The 22231-nt window shown below is 37.2% G+C and overlaps 1 protein-coding gene and 1 pseudogene across 21 annotated transcripts in view, besides 1 other annotated feature; one reads left to right on the top strand and one right to left on the bottom strand.

Annotated features, from left to right (window-relative positions):
* The window catches only part of TANC2 (tetratricopeptide repeat, ankyrin repeat and coiled-coil containing 2), a 461469-nt gene that overhangs the window by 75213 nt on the left and 364025 nt on the right, over nucleotides 1-22231 (bottom strand). For all 21 annotated transcript variants that reach the window (XM_011524597.3, NM_001394998.1, XM_006721810.4 and 18 more), the window contains 2 exons: nucleotides 12159-12390; nucleotides 1075-1241 (listed from right to left, as the gene is read on the bottom strand). In XM_011524597.3, coding sequence (XP_011522899.1) covers nucleotides 1075-1241; nucleotides 12159-12390 — 399 coding nt within the window. The remainder of the gene's footprint in view (nucleotides 1-1074; nucleotides 1242-12158; nucleotides 12391-22231) is intronic.
* Nucleotides 5688-6211: an enhancer, noted in NCBI's record as "NANOG hESC enhancer chr17:61423641-61424164 (GRCh37/hg19 assembly coordinates)". NCBI's record gives its function as "activates a minimal SCP1, AML or CMV promoter by ChIP-STARR-seq in naive H9 embryonic stem cells {active_cell/tissue: H9 hESC(naive)}" and the evidence as "EXISTENCE:reporter gene assay evidence [ECO:0000049][PMID:30033119]".
* On the top strand, nucleotides 19845-20706 carry DENRP3 (DENR pseudogene 3; annotated as a pseudogene).

The raw sequence follows: 22231 nt of genomic DNA, 5'->3' as shown, positions 1-22231 counted from the left end.
AGGTTATATAATTTTTAGTTGTAAAGATGGATTTATATTGATTTATCCATATCCTTTAGCTCAAACTACTTTGAGATTAATAATAAACATCTGTAAGGTGGTGGCCAGGATTAGAAATATAGTTTCTCATCATGGAAGACAGTAATGCTAACTGGTCAATATATGGAAATAATGCTAAGTGCCTGGCAGAGGGGGAAAGGAGGGACTTAAATGTACAGACTATTTTCTGTACATCAGCACTTATGACAAGGGGGCTGCATCCAAATAGTGAGATAAGCATATAATGTTTGAGATTTTAATATTCATCATAGGAGGAAATAATTTTTATAAAAAGAATGAGAAACATTGTTCCAAACCAAGTGTGAATATGTAAAGAATGGGACACCAACTCAGCTACAATGAGAAGGCTGGGGAAAGCAGAGTCATTTATCTTTAGCCCATATATTTTTACAGGCTCAGTCTCACATTCCTGGTCCTTATTCCAGGCCATTAAGTGACCAGTGAGTGAGAAGGGAAAGTAATTAGAAAAAACAACAACAACAACAAAAACCTTCTCTCTCAGTTGTAGTAAATTTAATCTAAAGCCCTAATATTGCCAATTTTTGTTAAAGGAGGACAGATATAGAGGAAAGTCCATATTCATGCTATAGAAGAGTTGTTTAAGTAGAAGCAGAGGGAGGAACCAGAAAATCTCATTCTAGGATGTAGATTGAACTGAATTTTGCATAGCATTAAATGATCAAAAAATGTTAAACGAAAGTCAAAGTGTTAGAGATCATCTTTACACTGCTGTCCTCAGAACAGTCTAGAAAAATTGACTTTCTTTTCATGCTATTTTGAGGAACATTTTATTAAACCTCATCCAGAGCAACAGAAATGGGAATCTGAGAGTCACGTATAAAGAATGTCTTTCTAGATCATATCTCTCAAAATATTAGATTAATTCTTCGGGAATTATTCTTCATAATGCTCTAGGACATAGTAGAAGTTTATGAAACTAGGACCTAGAACTTTTTCAGTCTAAGCTCTTTCCAAGAGGAATCATTTATGGTTTAAAAGCAAACAAACACATACCTGTAAACTGGTCCTAACTGTTACAATTAGTTTGAGCCAAGAAGGAAACTTTCCGATCATTTTACTCAGAAACGATACAATTGTATCCCCATAATCCGGTTTGTGAAATTCTGCTTCATTTAATCCATCAATTAAAATGATGAAATCTTCATCTGGGATTTTTCTCTCTGAGATAGAAAGAAACACATTACTTAATAATTACCAAGTGGATAAATGAGTTCTTACTGGATCTTTGATCACATATTTCTTTGGAACAAAATATTAGAAAAGGCTTGTCATGTGTTTAGTGAATGCTCAGGGTACATAATTTATTCTAAGGGCATGGAAAAATTAACTTAGTAAATTCATTTTGCTTTTAATCAGGTATGAAGGCTTTTGTCACATATGAGTATATATATCATCATTTTCAGAAATCTCCATATTAATAGTTGTGAGACAGCCTGAGTATTGGAGTTAAGAAAATTTGCACATGGGAAGTAATTTTTCTCTTACACATGAAAAAGCTGAGTAGAACATGTTCTGTTTTTTTTTTTTTTTTTTCCCTATCTGACAGCATTAAAGAGAATAGTATCATATGTTCTTTTGGGAATGTCCCCAAAAAGGTTTATGTAAAGTCTAAAGTCTAAAACAGTATATAGGACTGCATGTGAATGTGAATGTGTAGTGGGAAGGAAGAGACAGAGTAACAGAGAAAAGGAATCCCAGGCATTAGACAGAGTTGAACCAGGTGGCTAGATCCCAACACCGTAGCAGCTTCCTAGACTATACCTAAAGCAGCCGCAATGAGACCAGTCCCTTGCATGATCTTCCCAAAAGTGGAGGAGTCAAGTGGAAAAGACAAACATCTGCTGTGTTTGTGTCCAGTTCTCTCTTGGACTCCACATGATCCGGCATTGACAAAATCAATTTAACTTTAGGGCTATGCTGACGAAGCAGCTTGGGAAAATTTCAGGCTTCTGCACTTGATAAATGCTTATTGATTCTTGGTTCAACAATTAGAGATTCAAAAATTTCCACACTGAAAGAACATTTTAGTCTAAGTGAATTGTGAATAACAAATAAAAGTTATTTGTTAGCAGGATCTCACAGGCTCTGAAAGGGGGAAAGCAGAGGGAAGAGGGCAAGCAGTCATCAGATACCTGGAGTGAGAAACAGGTTTTATCTGAGGAGGAAAAAGAAGAAGCCGAGGACAGAAGAAAATGTCTGTGGACTTGCATACAAAATTGGCTATTTTTGCCTTTGAAAGTCAAGACCAATTGAAACTGAACATACTATTTTGTTTCCATATTTGAAAATATACAGATCTTTTGCAATGATTAATAAGCCCTTATTGTTTTTCTCCTAAAGCATAAACTTTATAAAAGAGATTTAATTTCAATATCCAAATCAGTTCTCAAATTATGAAGAATTTTAACAATTACTTTCATCTGCCAAGTTTTTAGGGAGTGAAATGAACTATGGATTCCAGCTCTATTAACAATCACTACTAATGGAGTGGTATTCTAGATGACGAAGCACTAAGAAAACATGAAATTCCTTCAGGGAGTGCAAAGTATTAAGGAAGAAAGAGGAGTTGCTTGGAACTAACTGGGATTTACCCAAACAACGAGGGGGGTGGGTGTTATGTTCTTGATTTTGAAGGCTCTGGCTCCCTTAAGCTTAACCATGCCTTTAATTTCCATAGAGGAATTTTCTAGTTGCATTCTGCCTGGCTAAGCACCATCAGCTAGTATCACTCACTGTGCTGGAGCTATCTATCCCTGTACTGGTTCAGGAGAGGCCACTGCAATATTTTCAAGCTCTGACTGTTAAACAGCTGGTAGCTTGGAATTGTGTATGGTGGGAATATTTACACAATAAAAATTGGCAAATATTACAAATCAGCCCTCCTCTCCCAGGTGGCTGTTAAAAATTTACCAGCACACCACTGTCCCCGCCCTTCAATTATATCTCCTTTAATAACTTCAACCAGGTTCCTTCATAAGAAAGTCATGATTTTCCAGTAGACAAAACAGCTGATGATAATGCATCTGTTGGGATTTTCTTTGGGATATCATTGCAAACACATTCTCAAGCATGGAGATCAGTAATGTGTAGTAAATTATGGTCCAGACATTTTAATGAATGAATAATTCATTTGCTAATAAAATTACATTTTCATTTGCATAAATTCTTAGTAGATTAAGCCCATGAGTAAAGTAGATGATATATTATTTTTTATTTTTAAAAGGGGGTACTTGCCTTCCCCCTTAATAAAGCTAATTTTATTCTTCTAAATTCTGATTATTATTTTTTTTTGAGATTTCCTGTTTTGAAGGAATTACTTACAAGTCACCTACTAATGTAGGTATCAAAAAAAATGTCATCACTTAGGAAGTAAGGAGGGCATATTTATCTAAGGATATCATAATTTTTAGGATTCAGAACGATAAATGCAAATAATTTCCTAATGCTACTAATGCTGTAAAACAATGAGAACTGTTCCTGAAATAATTCATTTTCCTTTGCTAAATGATAAGGTTTCTCAATTATAAATTTAAGAGGTGAGATACTAATGTTCTTTAGATTTTCACTTTGAAATGCAACCAGCCTACAAGAATGCTTCAGTATGTTCACTCATTCAAATTTCTGTAGATATTTAGAGTAGTACTTTAAATCAGTAGCTTAAAAAAAATTTACAAATAAAAATAAATTGGGGACTAACAAAGGATTGCTGCTTCGTATTTTGCCATGTAAGAACATGTAAAATATAATTACCATCCACGATCACCATATTTCATAGAATAAAAAGGATTTTAACATTAAAAAAGTAGGAGGGACATTATCTAATCTTTACATACATATATATGGAAAACTACATTATATCTACATCCATACAAATTCTGAGCTGTTGCTATTTTCTTATTTTGTCATGGACTAACTAAAAACTTTAAATGGACTGGTGCTTAGGAGCCACTGCTCTAGGTGACAAGTCACTAAAAAGGTTTCCCAAGCCCTTTAAAATCCTTATTTTTAATCCCTTGTAAATACACGTTCACCAGGGATTCCCCACTGCCTCCACTTACATGTATTCCTAACAAATACGTGAACTTTCTTCCTTAGTAGTTCCATTGTAAGACTCTACCTAGGTGCCTGAGAGAAATAAGAATTACAGAGACTGCAAGAGAAGAGATAGTAGCTAGTACTGAAGTCAGAACTGAATCTCGGCACATGAGATTCTTTTACTGGTATATATAGGAATTGTTGAAATTGAAAAAGAAGACTCATATCAGACAATATCTTTGTTCTGAAAAGCTTCACATAATATCTGAGTTATCTTTCCTTCAGTGTGGTAACAAATTAGTGTCTCAGCTGAGCCTGGTGGCTCACATCTGTAATCCCAACACTTTGGGAGGCTGAGGTGGGAGGACTGCTTGAGTCCAGGAGTTCCAGACCAGCCTGGGCAACATCGTGAGACACTATCTTTACAAAAAATAGAAAAAAATTAGCCAAGTATGATGGTGCGCTTCTGTAGTCCTAGTTACTGAGGCAGGAGGATAGCTTGGGCTCAAGAGGTCAAGGCTGCAGTGAGCTATGATCTTGCCACTGTACTCCAGCCTGGGTGACAAAGTGAGACCCTGTCCCAACAAAACGAAACAAAACAAAACAATTTGTGTCTCCTTTCATTTCATATTGGTAGCTAAAGCAAAAGTGTACTGAGAAACTTCAAAACTTTTTCATTTGTTTTATATGAGCATGTGGGTGTGCGTGTATGTATTTTAATCACTGTACTTGTGGAACTTTAAAGTACTGTGAAAAATACTGACTCATTTTTCAAAGAAAATACATAATTTGAAATCTAGCTTCTGACTCTAAATTGAAAGTGTTTTCCATTGAAAAAACTCCAGCTACCTTTAAAAAATAATTCTATATTAAAAATTATTGCAACAAAATTTATATATAGTGAATTACAAAGATCTTAACTATACACTTTGATAAGTTTTGACAGCTATATGTACTCATGTAAGCAATACTGTGATCAAATTTAGAACATTTCTATCTTTCCAGAAATTTGTTAGGTTCTCCTCCAGTCAGTCCTCAATAGGAAACCACTGTTCTTATTTCTATCACTGCAGACACTTGTTCTTTTGCCTAACACGTTTCTGAGACTCTTCTACACTGATTGTACTATTATTTTGTTCCTTTTTAATACTAAGAAGTATTCAATTGAATGAATGTACTACAATTTATCTATTCTGTTGATGGACACTTGGGCTGTTTCCAGTTTTTGACGACTATGAATAAAGCTGCTAGAAACATTCTTGTACAAGTGTTTTGTAGACATATGTTTTCATTTCTCTTGGGTAAATACGTAGCAATAGAGTTGCTTGGTCATAAAGTAGATGTACATTTAACTTTGTAAGAAACTGTTGGCTGGGTGTGGTGGCTCATGCCTATAATCCCAGCACTCTGAGAGGCTGAGGCGGGAAAACTGCTTGGGCCCAGGAGTATGAGACCAGCCTGGGCAACATGGCAAGACCCCCATCTCTGAAAAAAAAAAAAAATTAGCCAGGTATGGTGGTGTATGCCTGTAGCCCCCGGTTACTCAGAAGGCTGAGGTGGGAGGATTGCTTGAGCCGAGGGGGTCGAGGCTGTAGTGAGCTGTGCTCATGCCACAGCACTTCAGCTTGGCTACAGAGTGAGAGACCTTGTCTCAAAAAAAAGAAACTGACAAATAGTTTTCCAAAGTAGTAGCGCTATTGTATAGTCCCACCAGCAATGTATTAGAGTTCCAGTTGTTTCTCATCCTTACCAACACTGGATGTTCATTCTTTTAAATTTTAACCATTCTAATGGGTGTGAAGTGGTATTCTAATGGGTGTGAAGTGGTATTCTCATTGTAATTTTAATTTGCATCTCCCTGATTACTCATGTTAAACACTTCTTCATGTGCTTGTAGGCTGTTGACGTATCTTCTTTTGTAAAGTGTCTAAATCGCTTGTCCATTTAAAAACTGAACTGTTTGCATTCTACATGTATCGTAGATACAAGTGCTTTGTCTCTCACACACAGAAACATAGTGAATATTTCCTCCTCTTTGGTGACTTGCTTTTCCTTTTTCTTAGTGGTATTTTTTGTTGAGCAAATATTTTTAAGTTTGATGAAGTCTAATTTGTCATCATTTTTATATAATTAGTGATACTTTGTGTCCTTAAGAAATCTTTACCTATTCCAAGTTTGTGAAGATATTCTATGTTTTTTCTATTAGCTTTAGAGATACAACTTTTCTATTTAGGTCTGTGATCCATCTCATATTAATTTTGGTGTATAGTGTGAAGTAAGGATTGAGATTATTTCCCCTTCCCCAAACATTTATCTAGTTGTTCCAGTACCATCTGATGACAAGAATTCTCTAATTGCCTTGGCATCTTAGAGAAGATCAATTGACTGCATATGTGGGTCTATTTCTGGATTCTCTATTCTGTTCCATTGATCTATTTTCTATCCTTGTATGAATACAATCCTGTCTGTGGAATTTTGGACCTGACTCAAGCTGGCTCATGAGAGCTGATTGCTAAACTTTTAAGCATCAAATCAGCCCCCCATCCCTGAGCTGGATGTTAAACATTTACTAGCATATCACTGTCATGACTATTATAGTAATCTGTAATTCTGTACGTCTTGAAACCAGATCCTATCTTCCAACTTTCTTCTTCAAGAATGTTTTGGCTATTTTTGGTACTTTGCATTTCTAAAAGTTGTCCATTTTTACAGAAAAATTCTGCTGGGATTATGTGTTTTTTTTTTTTTTTTTTTTGAGACAGAATTTTGCTCTTGTTGCCCAGGCTGGAGTGCAATGGCATGATCTCAGCTCACTGCAACCTCCACCTCCCGGGTTCAAGTGATTCTCCTGCCTCAGCCTCCCGAGTAGCTGGGATTACAGGCATGTGCCACCACGCCCGGCTAACTTTGTATTTTTAGTAGAGACAGGGTTTCTCCATGTTGGTCAGGCTGGTCTCAAACTCCCGACCTCAGGTGATCCACCTGCGTTGGCCTCCCAAAGTGTTGGGATTACAGGCGTGAGCCACTGCAACCAGCCAGGATTATGTTTAATCTATAGAATAGTTTAAGAAAAAACTGACATCTTCCAATCCTCATTTATGACATATCTCTTCCACTTACTAAGTTCTTTAATTTCACTCTGCAATATTTTTGCTGTGCTTTCACTAAGTCTTACACATCTTTCATACATTTATTTTTAAGTATTATATATTTTTTGGTGCCACTGAAAATCGTATTTATTCTACTTATTTGTTGCTATATTGAATAGCAAGGGGTTACCTGAATGTCTGGGGCTGGGGGTTGGAAGTTGGAATCATTTGGAAGCTTATTCAAGCATATGTTTGGTGGCAGAGCAGGAATGAGCACTGGGACAGTCAACTAGACTCTCCCTGTGGTTTGTGCTTTGCAGCATGGTGAACTCAGGGTAGTCAGGTTTCATATATGGCAATACATGCCTCCCAAAGCAAGTGGTTTGGTGAACAAGATGGAAGCTGCATGGCTATTTATGACCTCCCTCAGTTGTCACATAGCATCATTTTGTTGGCTGAAGCAGTTGCAAGCCTGCCCAGTTATGAAGGGAGGGGACCCAGGTTGAACTATTAGTGGAAGTAATGTCAAAGAATTTGTAGCCATGTTTTAAAACTGCCACGTAGTTTTAAAATTTCATTTTCAGTATTTTGTTGTTAGTATAGAAATATTTGTACATTGACTTTATAGCCTAAAGCTTTGTGCTTACTAGTTCTAGTCAGATTTCTTTTTTCTGGGTAGATTCCTTAGAGTTTGCTAAGGTAAACAATTATGTTGTCTGCAAATAAAGACAGTTTTACTTCTTCCTTTCCAATATTTATACTATTTGCATGCTTGTTTATTTTCTTATTGTACTAGCCTGGACCACCAGTGGAATGATGAATATAAGTGGTGAGAGTGAGGGAACACTCTTGTCTTGCTCTTGACCTTAGGGGAAAAAAGCATTCAACATTTCACTACATGTATTTTTGGAGTTGTCCTTTATCAGACTAAACTTCCTTCTACTCCTAGTTTGTGTAGTTTTTATCACTAATTGGTGTACTTCGGAGGGACTGGTTTCATGGAAGAGAATTTTTCTGGGGTGGAGGGTGGAGAGGATGGTTTAGGGATGAAACTGTTCCACCTCAGATTATCAGGCATTAGATGAAGTGCGCAACCTAGATCCCTTGCACGCATAGTTCACAATAGAGTTCGTGCTCCTATGAGAATCTAATGCTGCAGCTGATCTGACAGAAGGCGGAGCTCAGGCGGTAGCCGTCGCTCACCTCCTGCTGTGTGGCCTGGTTCCTAACAGGCCACGGACCTATATCCATCCTTGGCCCAGGGATTGGGGACCCCTGATGTAGTATTTTGTCAAATGCTTTTGTACATTTATTGAAACGATTATGTGGATGTTCTCCTTTATTTTGTTAATATGATGAATTACACTGATTAACTTTCTTTTTTCTTTTTGAGACCAGGTCTCATTCTGTTACCCAAGCTGGAGTGCAGTGGCATGATCTTGGTTCACTGCAGCCTTGACCTCCTGGGTTCAAGTGATCCTCCTGCCTCAGCCTCCTGAGTAGCTGGGACTACAGCTGTGCACCACCATGCCTGCTGGTGTTGTTGTTGAGATGGGTACTTGCTATGTTGCCCAGGCTGGTTTTGAATTCTAGGCTCAAGTGATCCTCCTGCCCTGGCCTCCCAAAGCACTGGGATTACAGGCATAAGCCACCAAGCCTAGCCTAAATTCCTTTTATGTTCCAGTTACCATACTAGCTGCTATGTCTTCAATGGTTATGCAGCTTTTATAGTTTAGCGGGATAAAAATATGCTAAACATTAAATAACTAGATAGTCATTAATTACACTGTTCTGCCTCAGCCTCCAGAGCAGTTGGGACTATAGCTACTTCTCTAATTTGGTCTATTTTTGATTCATGAATTTGGAACCTCTGTTATTAGGTGCATACATCTAATACATGTTCCTGATGAGTTGGCCCTTTTATGTTTATCAAATGCCTCTTTAGAAATACTTCTTGTCTTGAAGTCTACTCTGTCTGAGATTACTATAGTCACTCCAGCTTTCTTATGCTCCATGTTTATACAGTCTCTATCCTTTTACTTTCAATCTGTGTCTTTATATTTAAAAAACTGCATATGGTTGAGTCTTGCTTTTTATCCAGTCTGACAGTTTCTACCTTTTAATATAAGTGCTTAGCCCATTTACATGTAATGTAATTGTTGATATTATTGCTTATACATCTACCATTTTGCTTGTTCTATCTCTAAAAAAAATATTCTTCTTTATTTCTTGAGTTCTTTTGGGTCACTCTAATAAATTTTAGTATTTCCAGCTGGAAAATTGTGTTTCCAGCTATTGCTCACAATGGTGATTTAAGGGTGAGTTAAAAACATGGAAATAAAATGAAGTAATTAAATCCACTTAGAACAGTATTTATAATAGAGATCACTAAAGCTGGTTATGGAGACCTAAATGAGAGGCAGATATATCTTGTAGCAAAACTATAAAACATATGAATTATGCCAGAGCTGACTGCAAGCATTTGGATAGCCTTCTTTTCTTTTTTTTTTGAGACGGAGTCTCACTCTGTCGCCCAGGCTGGAGTGCAGTGGCACTATCTTGGCTCACTGCAAGCTCCGCCTCCCGGGTTCACGCCATTCTCCTGCCTCAGCCTCCCGAGTAGCTGGGACTACAGGTGCCCGCCACCATGCCCGGCTAATTTTTTGTATTTTTAGTAGAGATGGGGATTCACTGTGTTAGCCAGGATGGTCTTGATCTCCTGACCTCGTGATCCACCTGCCTCGGCCTCCCAAAGTGCTGGGATGGATAGTCTTCTTGAATTGGCTGTAAGGTGTAGATCCTTGTATCACTGTGTTTCTTTCAAGGTACTCCTACATGTGAGCAGTTTCTATATTCACTTATCTGTTCAAAACATATTTCCTAAAATGCCTACTATGTTCAAGGTGAGGTAACCACTATGAAGGATAAAAGCTGAATTTTACAAAGTTCCTAATTTCAATAACATACAATTTACTCAAAGGGATAAGTACAAAAGTAATTCTTATAAACTGCAAAGTGTATCTGGCATATGGTAAATATTTAATAAATATTAATAATAATAATTTTAAATTCTTGTTATACATTATGTGTTATGTACCATAAATACATATATATATTTTGAAAAAGGATCTAATGTTATTTGGAAGGACATCATTTCTGACTGGAGGGGGGCAGGTAGATCAGTAGGTATTTCATGAATGAGGTAGCATTTAAGCTGGTCCTTGATAGATGGGTGGAATTCTGACAGGCAGAGATTTAAGAAGAAGGTATATCAAGAAGGAAAATAATGAGTAAATATATGGAGGTGGGAAAATCTAGGGAAGTATTTGAGGACTAGTGAATATTTTAGTTTACACATAAACACAGGGTTCCTAAGGATAACAGTGAATAATAAGGCTGAAAAGTAGGTTGGATACTGGCCATCAAGCATCTTGAATGTCAGAACAAGGAATTGAAAGTTAATTCAGAAGGCAATAGGCAATCAGCGGATTATGAATTGAGGAATTATGTGATCAGAGAAGTGTTTTATAAAACTTTATCTGGAAGAAACACATAAAGTCTAGAAGACTGGAGAGACTGGGGAAGAACTTCCCCTCCAGGTGTGCCATGAATGGTTTAGAAGTGTACTTAAAATTCAGCCCTCAGGACATCTGAGGCTTGGCAGAGCTGTCTCCTCAGGGCCAGTCATGTCCAGCAATGAGGAGTTATAAATTTTTATCCCAGTATGCTATACAAAGTTTTATTATTTTGTAAGTGTGTCATGATGTGGAAAGAGCACTAAACTCGAGAACCAGGAAAGACCAGGATGAGGTAATTATAGATATGATGCTATGGGCAGATGAACAGTCCTTGTGGTAATGATGCTAGAAACAATTGAGCCAAGTGGGTGTGAGAAACATGACGAAGGCAGAATTAACAGGTTTTAGAGATTGACTGAATGTCCAGGAAATAGGCTTAAAAATACTTGTGGAGAAACGGCAATGTTTAAAAAGGTAACAGGTAGCAAAGGTAGTGACAGAGGTCATCAGAGTAGAGGAGAAAGAGAAATTCTGATATCCAAGTAACCAGCATGGAAGCTGAAATAACTGAAGATGATGGCCAGGAGAAATTATAAACCATCTTTCCTTATTAGTGCCTCCAAAGCCCTTGAGAAAGGTGTCTAAGTCTCTCAGGAATAAACAGGATTGCTCAGGAATTTTATGCATACCCACATCCTTTTCTTTGGCTTCTGGCACTAACAAAACATTGTTAAGAGTATGGGGCAGGAAGACTTAAGAAGGCAGGTACCATTTTCAAGGAAATGGTTGCACTTAGGCCACTGCTAACACTAGAACTGCAGAGGAAAAAGGGAGGAAAGGCATGAGCATGAATGGGAGATGGATCTCATTTAATTTTTTTCACTTTTAAAAAATAACAGCTCTCCTATAATACAATTTATGCACCGTAAAATACCCTTATGCCCCTTAAGTAGATTTTAAAGTGTACAGTTAAATGATTTCTGGTTTATACAGAGCATTGTGTAACCATGGAGGCCATTCCACTTCACATGAACTGATGGGGTAATAAAATATGTTTTTTATTAATATTACATATTACAGGGGGGATTTCTAACCATAGAAACTTCACAACACTGCGTTGGAGCCACAAATTTACTGACTTATTTAAACTTCACAGAAAGGACTGAAAGCTCTACTATCTTCAGGACAAGGAAAAGGCATTCTATTTGGAAATAAGAATAAGAATTTTTATAAAGAAAAGAGGAAGGAGTAGTTACTGCTGGATTTTTTTTTTTGCAAGTAAAATCTCTTGTCTGTTAACTGTATCCTACAGGATATCCAGCTATGGAACATTTAGTTTTGGCAATGTGATAAAATCAATCATTTTTATAGTATGACCCGGGTGAACTTGGGCTCTAAACCTCCATCTTTCCCCTCCTTTGGGCCTTATCTGTACCTTTATGGAGATTTTCTAGTGGCTCCAGAACTCCCCTCCGGAAGGAGGCCATGGGGTCTTGAACACAGGAACGAAGGCTCAGCATGCTCTGCAGGTGAGGTTCCCGAAGAAGCTGCTCCCGATAGGCTGTCAGCTGAGGTGAGCGGCAGAGCAAGGCAGCAACATTGTGGACAAATTCTGGCACCAAGCAAGTGTAGGCATTATCTGCTTGACAATAGTGATAGGCAACCACCTGCAAAAGAAAGATGAGAATGCAAACAGGCTTATCAGTAGTAAGAGCAATAGCTATGATTATCAGCTATTGAGTGATTATACTAGAAATCACTTAGTATCTCAGTATTACATAATACTTTTTTGTCTCTTCATTCCTCAACTTTTCCAAGTAAATATAAAAGCTACTAACTCAGAAAACGTCTGATTTATGTAAGATCAGAAATTTGATACTTCTATTGTATGCATATGATATCATAACCCAGAATAAAATTTGTAAATAAAAATGGAGTTTTCCTCTGGATTACAAGAAATAGGAAGCAAGTCTGAAAATAAAGACTTACATTGATATCACTAACATTTATTCAGCATGGAGCAGTATAGGAAATAGTCTAATCTTTAAACAAAGCATGAGGAATAAAATAATCCAAGAAAAATCATGTTAGTCTCAACAAACACATATACTTCTATCAATTTTTGGATTACAGGTGTGTTATAAACTAAGTCTTATAAAAATAAAGTAATTCAGATTTTAAAATTAGCATTAAATGTTTTCTGAGCACCCAGGCAGAGACAGAAAAAGAGTATCAGAATTAGATAAAAGGAAGAAGGAAAGGAGTGAGATTTTTGTTAGATGTAGGTCTTAAAATCAAAGAACATGGAAAATTTATAAGCATTAATACCATCCAGGGTCTGGGCTGCCTGGCTAGGACCTGGAGTTCTAGGGTCTGTTTTTTGTTTGTTAGAATCTGCACAGCACTCACCCCAGGTCTTCTGGCTGTTCTCTTTGCCTCCACGGCAAGTACAAAGGGGATTTTAATCTGGACCACTTTTCTGGCTCATTACTACCCAGAAAAGGGATTGGACTGTGTAGAAAATACCAAACTGGAAGGGGGAGATTCAGCTTGAATGTAGAGAAAGCACTCAGCATGGTGCTCAGCACCTACTAATCACAGCAATGTCAGCTGATGCTGCCATTTATCATCACCATCTTTATCCTCCTCACTGCCATCATTCTTAAGGATCTGTATACTGTCTTTTTCAGCTACTTAGCTTTGTGCCTATATACCGGCAACTGAAATCTGTCCTAGGGGCACTCATAGACATATGAACTCCAGCTCTTCAGGCCTCTCTTCGAGAACACCACCTCTAACTCATCAGGCATCTGCCAGTCATCTACTAAAGAGCTCTGCTTTGAAAAGACTCCTCATCTACTGGTATGGTCATCCTAGTTCTTCTAACACATGTTGGAAATGTCGATATTTTTTAAACACCTGAAATCCTTCTCATTAAACATAAAAAAACCCCAAACAATACAGGAAATGTTACTACATATACAAAACTGAAGATAGGAATTGCCTGTGAGTGAAGCAATGAAGTCTGAGCACAATATGGAAAGTGGAAATCAGAGGTTGTATTTTAAAAATCTCCACTTTTCTTCAGATAGACTGGTGATTATTTTACCTACTGTATTTTATCTATCTTAAACAGAATGTAAGGAACCTAAAGAGAAAGGCTGTCAGCAATTGATCTGTCCTCTCAATGAACAGTGAATGCCAGTGGTTAGGTCTACATGGGTACAAATCTCCACTTGATAAAAAGCAAACAGCAAACCTCTACATCAATATAAACTTTCATCATATTTCACTTCAATTGATTCCACATGTTGAGGCTAAGCACAGCTGAGAAAATCAGCTGCAACATCCTAAAGTAAGAAGATACCATTTTAAAGATAAAAATTGTGATATTTAGAAAAAGCATTATTTTACTGATTTTATTAAAAAAAACCCATCTGTGCTCTTGGCTGAATGTTTCATCTAAAAGACAATGCTGAAGTTGCACCTTCTGTGCTGGTGAGGTTGTGGAGAAAAAGGAATGCTTATACACTGTTGGTGGGAGTGTAAATTAGTTCAATCATTGTTGAAAAGTGTAGCGATTCCTCAAAGACCTAAAACAGAACTACCGTTCAACTCAGCAATCCCATTACTGGGTATAAATCCAAAGAAATACAAATCATTCTATCATAAAGACACATGCACACGTATGTTCACTGCAGCACTATTCACAATAGCAAAGACATGGAATCAACCTTAACGCCCATCAATGGCAGACTGCATAAAAACAATGTGGTACATATACACCATGGAATACTATGCAGCTGTACAACAGAATGAGATCATGTCCTCCTCAGGAACACGGATGGAACTGGAGGCCACTATCTTTAGCAAACTAATGCAAGAACAGAAAACCAAATACTGCATGTTCTCACTTATAAGTGAGAGCTAAAAGATGAGAACACATAGGCATGTAGAGGGAAACAACAACTGGGGCCTACCGGAGGGCGGAGAGTGGGAGGAGGGAGAGGATCAGTAAAAATAGCTAATGGGTACTAGGCTTAATGCCCGGGTGATGAAATACTCTGTATAACAAATTCCTGTGACATGAGTTTACCTATATAATAAATGTGCACGTGTGCCTCTGACCTTAAAATAAAATTTAAAAAAAAAAAAAAGATTGGAAAGAAGCCAAAGATGCCCACTTTCACCATTACTATCCAATATAATACGAGTGATTGTGGGTAGCACTATAAAGAAAAAGAAAAGAAATAGGAAGAGCAGAGACTTAAATGGAAAAGATAGTTTTTATTATTAAAATATATAGTTATCTATATAGAGAAAAACAAGCTATTAGAATTAATAGAGTTCAAGATTTTTGGTACAAGATTTTCTTGTAAAAATTAATAACATTTTTGACTCCAGCAATAACTACTTAGAATTATAGTAAAAAATATGATATCCACAAAGGTATGAGGCAGAAAATTTAACTAAGAATATTAAAAATAAATAAATAAAGTTGCACCTTCTGTGGCTGCCTCTCTTTTAATTTTTAGATATTTCTTTGGCATTCCAAATATAAAGTCTTGATGCATCTGCAGAATTCAGGCAACATCTTCATTAGATTTGCACTGTGGCTCAAAATAGATTATTTACTAGACTTTTAAAGTAGTTACGTAGTAGGTATATGCACATACAATCTGTCAAAAACATCTGTTACTTCCTCCAAATTTTCTATTAATATTACGTATAACTTTCCCTCTGTATAAAAATAGAAAACAAGCCTGAAAATGTAGATTTTTTTCCCTTCAGTTTCTCATTAGTACCAGCGCGCTTGGTAAGAGATATTAGATCACTCCCTACACCTTTGAGAAAGTCATCATACATAGTCACTACTATTACAGCTCCTTGGGAATGGTTCAGGATTAGTCTACTCATAATAAATCAGCAGGTAAAACCTTTCTCCTTGGCGAATTCTTGTCTTTCAAAGTAACTTGTTTAAATTTCATTTTTTAGCTATGTCTTTCTTACATTATTTTTTTCATTTCAACTTTTCCTTCTGTTAAATTCCTAAACTTTTTCTTAAAACAATTTCATCCACAGCATATCTGATATGAGCAGAGTTGCATTATTTCTTTGGAGGAAGATAGCAAGTAAGTTTTAGGTTACTCTTGTGAGGGAAGAAAGAAAAGGGCAGGCCTGTGGGCTATATACAGAAAGAAAAGACTAGAAGTCAATACAGCCTTGTGTATAAAATCTCTTGATTTAATGCTGTATATAAAAAATGATAAAACTAGTCATAAACTTCATCAAAGGGACTGAGTGGCAGCAAAAATGTCACGCTTGCGTTGAGTCACAGGCCTTCACTCTCCATAGACCATTTTCTACTTCAAATGAAGGATCAGTGACAGAATTAAGCTAATCTCACATAAAGTGAAGGCAGCTTTGAATATCTGAAATTTGTTTGGAAATAAAATTCTAATTTCCATACTGACTGGCATTTGTATCACTTAAACTAATATTGCAGCTGTCACACGCTTACTCTCCATGTTCCTTTTCATTACTCCTTCTGTGAATGTCTTCTTCCTCACTACCACCCGATTGATTTCCTAATCAGCAAAACCCTTCCAACTCTAAAGTTTGATTTTTAATATTTTTGGGACTTGGTGGCTCACCATAAATAACAACTCTCTCTTCCTTTTCTCTTAGTCCCTCAATTCTGATTCTAATCCTCATGCTGGGACTAGATGCTAAGAATAGATCCCAGGCTAGAGTTCTGCCTCAGTAATTTTCCAGCTTGGAGCCCTACCATTTTTTTTTTTGGCAGTAGGACTTTTATTTATTTTTTAATTTTTTACTTTGAACTAACTTTAGACTTACAGAAATGTTGCAAAAGTAGTACACAGACTTTCTATTTATCCCTCATCCAGCTTCCCTTATTATTAACATCTTACATAACCATAGCAAAATTATCAAAACCAGGAAATTAACATTGGCAATACTATTACCTATAGACATTATTCAAATTTTACAGTTTTTCCACTATGTCTTTTCCTGTTCCTGGATTCTATCCAGGACCCCATACTGTATTTAGTTATTTTTCTTTAGTCTTCTGGAGTCTGTAAGAGATCCTTAGTCTTTGTCTTCTATTTCCTTGACACTTTTTTTTTTTTTTTGAGAAAGAGTCTCGCACTGTTGCCTGGGCTAGAGTGCAATGGTGCGATCTCGGCTCACTGCAACCTCCGCCTCCCAGGTTCACGTGATTCTCCTGTCTCAACCTCCTGAGTAGCTGGGATTACAGGTGCACACCACCATGCCCGGCTAATTTTTCTGTATTTTTAGTAGAGGTGGGGTTTCACTATATTGGCCAGGCTGGTCTCGAACTCCTGACCTTGTGATCTGCCCACCTCGGCCTCCCAAAGTGTTGGGATTACAGGCATGAGCCACCGTGCCCGGCCATCTTGACACTTTTGAAGGGTACTGATCAGTTATTTTGTTGAATGACTCTCATTTTGGGTTTGTCTGATGTTTTCTCATGATGTAACTGAGAATTTTTGTCAAGAATACCAGAAAAAGAGTGTTTTATCCCTCTTTGTGGATCATATCACAGGGTTCATGATAGTGATGTTTTTCTACTGGTGGTAGAGTTTGGATATTTGTCCCTGCCCAAATCTCAGACTGAAATGTAATTCCCAATGTTGGAGATGCAGCCTGGAGGGAGGTGTTTGGGTCATGGGGGCAGATCCCTCAAGGCTTGGTGCTGTCCTCACCACAGTGAGTGAGTTCTCACAAGATCTGGTCATTTAAAAGTGTGTAGCACCTCCCCAACCCACCTCCTGCTCTGCTCTGGCCATGTGATGTGCCTGCTAGCATCTCACCTTCCACCATGAATGAAAGCTCCCCAAGGCCTCCTCAGAAGCTGGACACATGCCATGCTCATACAGCCTGCAGGACTATTCAATCAAACCTCTTTTCTTTAGAAATTACCCAGTCTCATTTCTTTATAGCAATGCAAGAATGGCCTAACACAACTGGTAATGTTGCCCTTGATCACTTTGTTAAGGTTCTGCTAGGTTCTTCTACTATCATCTTTCCCTTTGTAGTTAATAAATATCTTAAGGGAGATGTTTGAGGCTATGCAAATCCTGTTTCTCCTTAAACTTTTGCCCATTAATTTTAGTATCTATCAGTGGATCTTGTCTGCAGCAGTATTTCCTGAGTGTTTGCCTAATAGTGATTTTCTATTCCCCTCTTTGTTTCTTTCTACATTTATTAATTAGAATCCTATTGGAAGAAAGAGTTCTCCCTTATCTCCCATTTATTTATTTATTATTGATTTAATAAGTATGGGCTTATTTTATCCTATTGGTTATAATTCAATACTATATTAATTTTGTTGCTCAATTTGTTCCAGCTTTAGTCACTAGGATTTCCTTCAGGTTGACTGCTGTGTTATTTCAAGAAGCCTCTATCTTTTTTTGAGCAAGTTCTTGCTTTTTGGCACCAAAAGATGTTCTAGACTTATTTTGTATTTTCCCTGCCTCTGGGATCATCTACTTCTCTAAAAAGCCTCTGTTCTTTTTATTGGAGAATGATATTAAGAAAAAAGATGTGGACACCAGTTGTGATTATTGTATTGATGTGTCATTGTTTTTGGGTTCTCACTGAACAGAGCTAAGAAATACAAGTACGTATAAAGGCATACCTTGGAGATACTGTGGGTTTTGTTCCAGGTCACCAAAATAAAACAAACAGAGCAATAAGGTGAGTCACTCAATTTTTTTGATTTCCCTGTGCATATAAAAGTTATGTTTACACTATAATCTATTAAGTGTGCAATAGCATTATGTCTAAAAACATGTACATACCCTAATTTAAAAATACTTTATTGTTAAAAATGCTAATGATCACATGAGCCTCCAGTGAATCCTCTTTTTGCTTGTGTAGGGGGGTCTTCCCTCGATGTTGATGGCTGCTGACTGATTAGGGTGGTGATTGCTGAAGGATGGGTGACTGTGGCAACTGCTTAAAATAAGACAATAAAGTTTGCTGCATTAATTGGCTCTTCCTTTCATGAAAGATTTCTCTGTAGTATGTGATACTCTTTGATAGGATTTTACCCATAGGAGAACTTCTTTCAAAGCTGGAGTTAATCCTCTCAAACCCTGGCACTACTTTATCAACGAAGTATATGTAATATTCTAAATCCCTTATTGTTATTTTTACAATGCTCACAGCATCTTTACCAAGTACAGATTCCATCTTAAGAAACCATTTTCTTTGCTCTTCCATAGGAAGCAACCCCACATCCATTCAAGTTTTATCAAGAGATGATAGCAATTCAGTCACATCTTCAGGCTCCACTTACAATTCTAGTCCTCTTATTATTTCTGCCATATCTGCAGTTACTTCCTCCACTGAAGTCTTGAACCTCTCTCAAGGTCATCCATTATGGTTAAAATTAATTTCTTCCAAACTCCTAGTAATGTTAATATTGACCTCCTATGAATCATAGATGTTCTTAATGGCATCTAGAATGGTGAATCTTTTCCAGATGAAAATCTTGAAAATCCTTTTCAATTTACTTTGCCCAGATCCATCAGAACAATCATTATCTATGGGAGTTCTAGCCTCATGAAAAGTATTTCTTAAGTTACAAGACTTAAAAGTCAAAATTACTCCTTGATCCAAGGCCTAAAGAATGTTGTGTTAGCAGACATGACAACAATAATAATCTCCTTGTATGTCACCATCAGAGCTCTTAGGTGACTAGATGTATTGTCCATGAGGAGTAGTATTTTGAAAGTTATCTTTTTTTCTGTGTAGATCTCAATAGTGGGCTTAAAATAATCAGTAAACCATGCTGTAAACAGATGTGCTATCATCCAGGTTTTGTTGCTTCATTTACAGAGCACAGGTAGAGTAGATTTAGCATCATTCTTAAGGGCCCTAGAATTTTTGGAATGGTAAATGAACATTGGCTTTAACTGAAAGTCACCAGCTACATTAGTCCCTAACAAGAGTGTCAGCCTGTCTTTTGAGGCTCTCAAGGCAGGCATTGACTTCTCTCTAGCTATGAAAGTCCTAGGTGGCACCAGCTACCCACAGAAGGCTATTCTGTCTACATTAAGAATCTATCATTGCTCTCGGGTGGCCCTGGCCAGGGAAGACAAGCTGTATGTCACTTCAACTGGCCATAGTGGTAGAAGTAGAGGCAGCGGGGCCTGTGTGACCACCTGGGTTTGTGAAATGGCTGCTGGCATTTCTAAATCCAGTGGGGCTGATTGCAAAGGAGGCCCAAGGAACAGTGCCAAGTTAGATGCTGATTACTCACTTTGAGTCCTTTATTGCAGAGTCTGTTCATTACCAACAGGGTACTGTGAATATATGCCTGTTGTTGCTAAATGAAATGAATTTGAAAAACTTACTGTAGAAAATTCACCCAATCAAGAAGTGGAATTAGTAAGGGTCAAGGAATAGCAGGGGAAGGGGAGAAGAAAAAACAGAAGAGAGGTGGAAGGGGTCAAATAAAACCAAAAAAGGAGACTGTACCATAAAAGGTTATTATAGCCAAAATTCCCAGAGCAAAGAAGAAATATGTAAAAACAGTGTGTGGCTTTGCAACTTTTGAAGTTGATCTTAAAGAAGCACAAAGATTTTTCTGCTCAAAAATTCTCCTGTGGTACCTCGGTAACAGGGGAGGATGAAATTATTCAGGAAGACTCTACAGATGGCATAATTGATATCATTCAGAAAAAACAGCCAGAGGTGGATGATGACAGCATCGAAGATCTTGAAGAAGTAAATATGTAGTTTTGAAAATACGTCTGTATTTAACGGCTGGAACTGAGAGTTGATACCGCCAAATGGAGAGAAGTCTTTTAAATATAAATAAATACACACACACACACACACACACACACACACACACAGACACACACACACACACACACTCTTATCTTACAGTAAAACTGTAGGCTTCATTCTTGGCGTTTTCACTGTTCTGTACAAGGTTGTTTGGTTTTTTATTGCCAAAGTCAAATAAATAGGAGAGATTGTCTACGTATGAAATAGAATTTAGACAAAAAATTCTGGTCATTTGCTACTGACTTTTCCCTCTCTTCTTAATTCTTTTTGAAAAACCCAGATCTTTTTGTGGGAAGCATTTCTGTTGATTATTTTACTGATCTAATGCTGAGTGATTTTTAAAAAGCATTCCAATTTGGCTTCCTCACCAGTAATACGAAGAAGAATACCTTGCTTCTTTGACATGACAGTTTAGAGATGGATGAGAATCTAATAGATTTGTGGTTGAATTTGCTTCACTGTTATCAAGTCCACTTCGTGGGCACAATAACATACTGTTGGTGGGATTTGTTCAAGCTATTCTGGAAATTATTTGGTAAAGTACACTAAAAGCCTTTAGACCATTTGCACTGTTTATACTAGTAAGCCACTTCTTTGACATCATTCTAAAGAAATAATCAGTCTTGCATAAAACTTATGAATGAAGGTATGGATCACAATGTTATTTATATATCAAAAAGTTGCAAATAATATAAACAATTAGGAAATAAATGGTTAAAGAAGTGATAATGCATCATGTGGTAGAATATTATGCATGTGTTTAAAAACCATATTTTCTAAGAATATTTGGAAACACACTTGGCAATGTCAAGTAGGGGCACACCCCAGATACATTATTATTTTTTGGGATGGAGTTTCACTCTTGTTGCCCAGGCTGGAGTGCAATGGTGTCATCTCGGCTCACTGCAACCTCTGCCTCCCGGGTTCAAGCAATTCTCCTGCCTCAGCCTCCCAAGTAGCTGGGATTACAGGCATGCGCCATCATGCCTGGCTAATTTTTGTATTTTTAGTAGAGATGGGGTTTCACCATGTTGACCAGGCTGGTCTCGAACTCCTGACCTCAGGTTATCCACCCACCTCGGCCTCTCAAAGTGCTAGGATTACAGGCAGGAGCCACCGCGCTCCGCCTACATTTTAGATATTTATTATCATCATTGTTCTCAGTGGAAGTCCATTCAGAGAGGCTAGAGGCTCTTGTTGTGGCTATAAATTATGTGAGTAAAATTCTGCTAACCAATTAAAAATAATATATACCCATGTTTAACAGTCTGGAAAACAGCAATTAAAACATATCTTTCTTATAAAAGAACGGACACTTTTAATGAATGCATTAGATGAATTATATTTTAAGTCAGGTGCTGCAAATCAAAAAGATGACTTGTATTTTAAATTGGTATGGTCACCTTTAAGAATTTGGAACCCACGAAACCATTGTTTATTGTCATGCAAATTATGATCCTGAATAAATTTTTTTTTTAAAATAAAGTCTCAGAAAATATGTAATAAAGATGTAAAGTAAAACAATGAAAAAAAAGGAAAATCTATGGTTTAAGTGTAGCCACTTTCATCAATTATCTTAGCTGGATCTTCTGGATAACTTGCTACAGCTCGTGTATCAGCACGTACTGCTTCACCTTGCACTTTTATGTTATGGAGATGGCT

Source organism: Homo sapiens, chromosome 17 (assembly GCF_000001405.40).
Source record: "Homo sapiens chromosome 17, GRCh38.p14 Primary Assembly".
NCBI lineage: Eukaryota > Metazoa > Chordata > Mammalia > Primates > Hominidae > Homo > Homo sapiens.
Note: the sequence above shows the minus strand (reverse complement) of the source record. Positions and strands in the feature narration are given on the sequence as shown.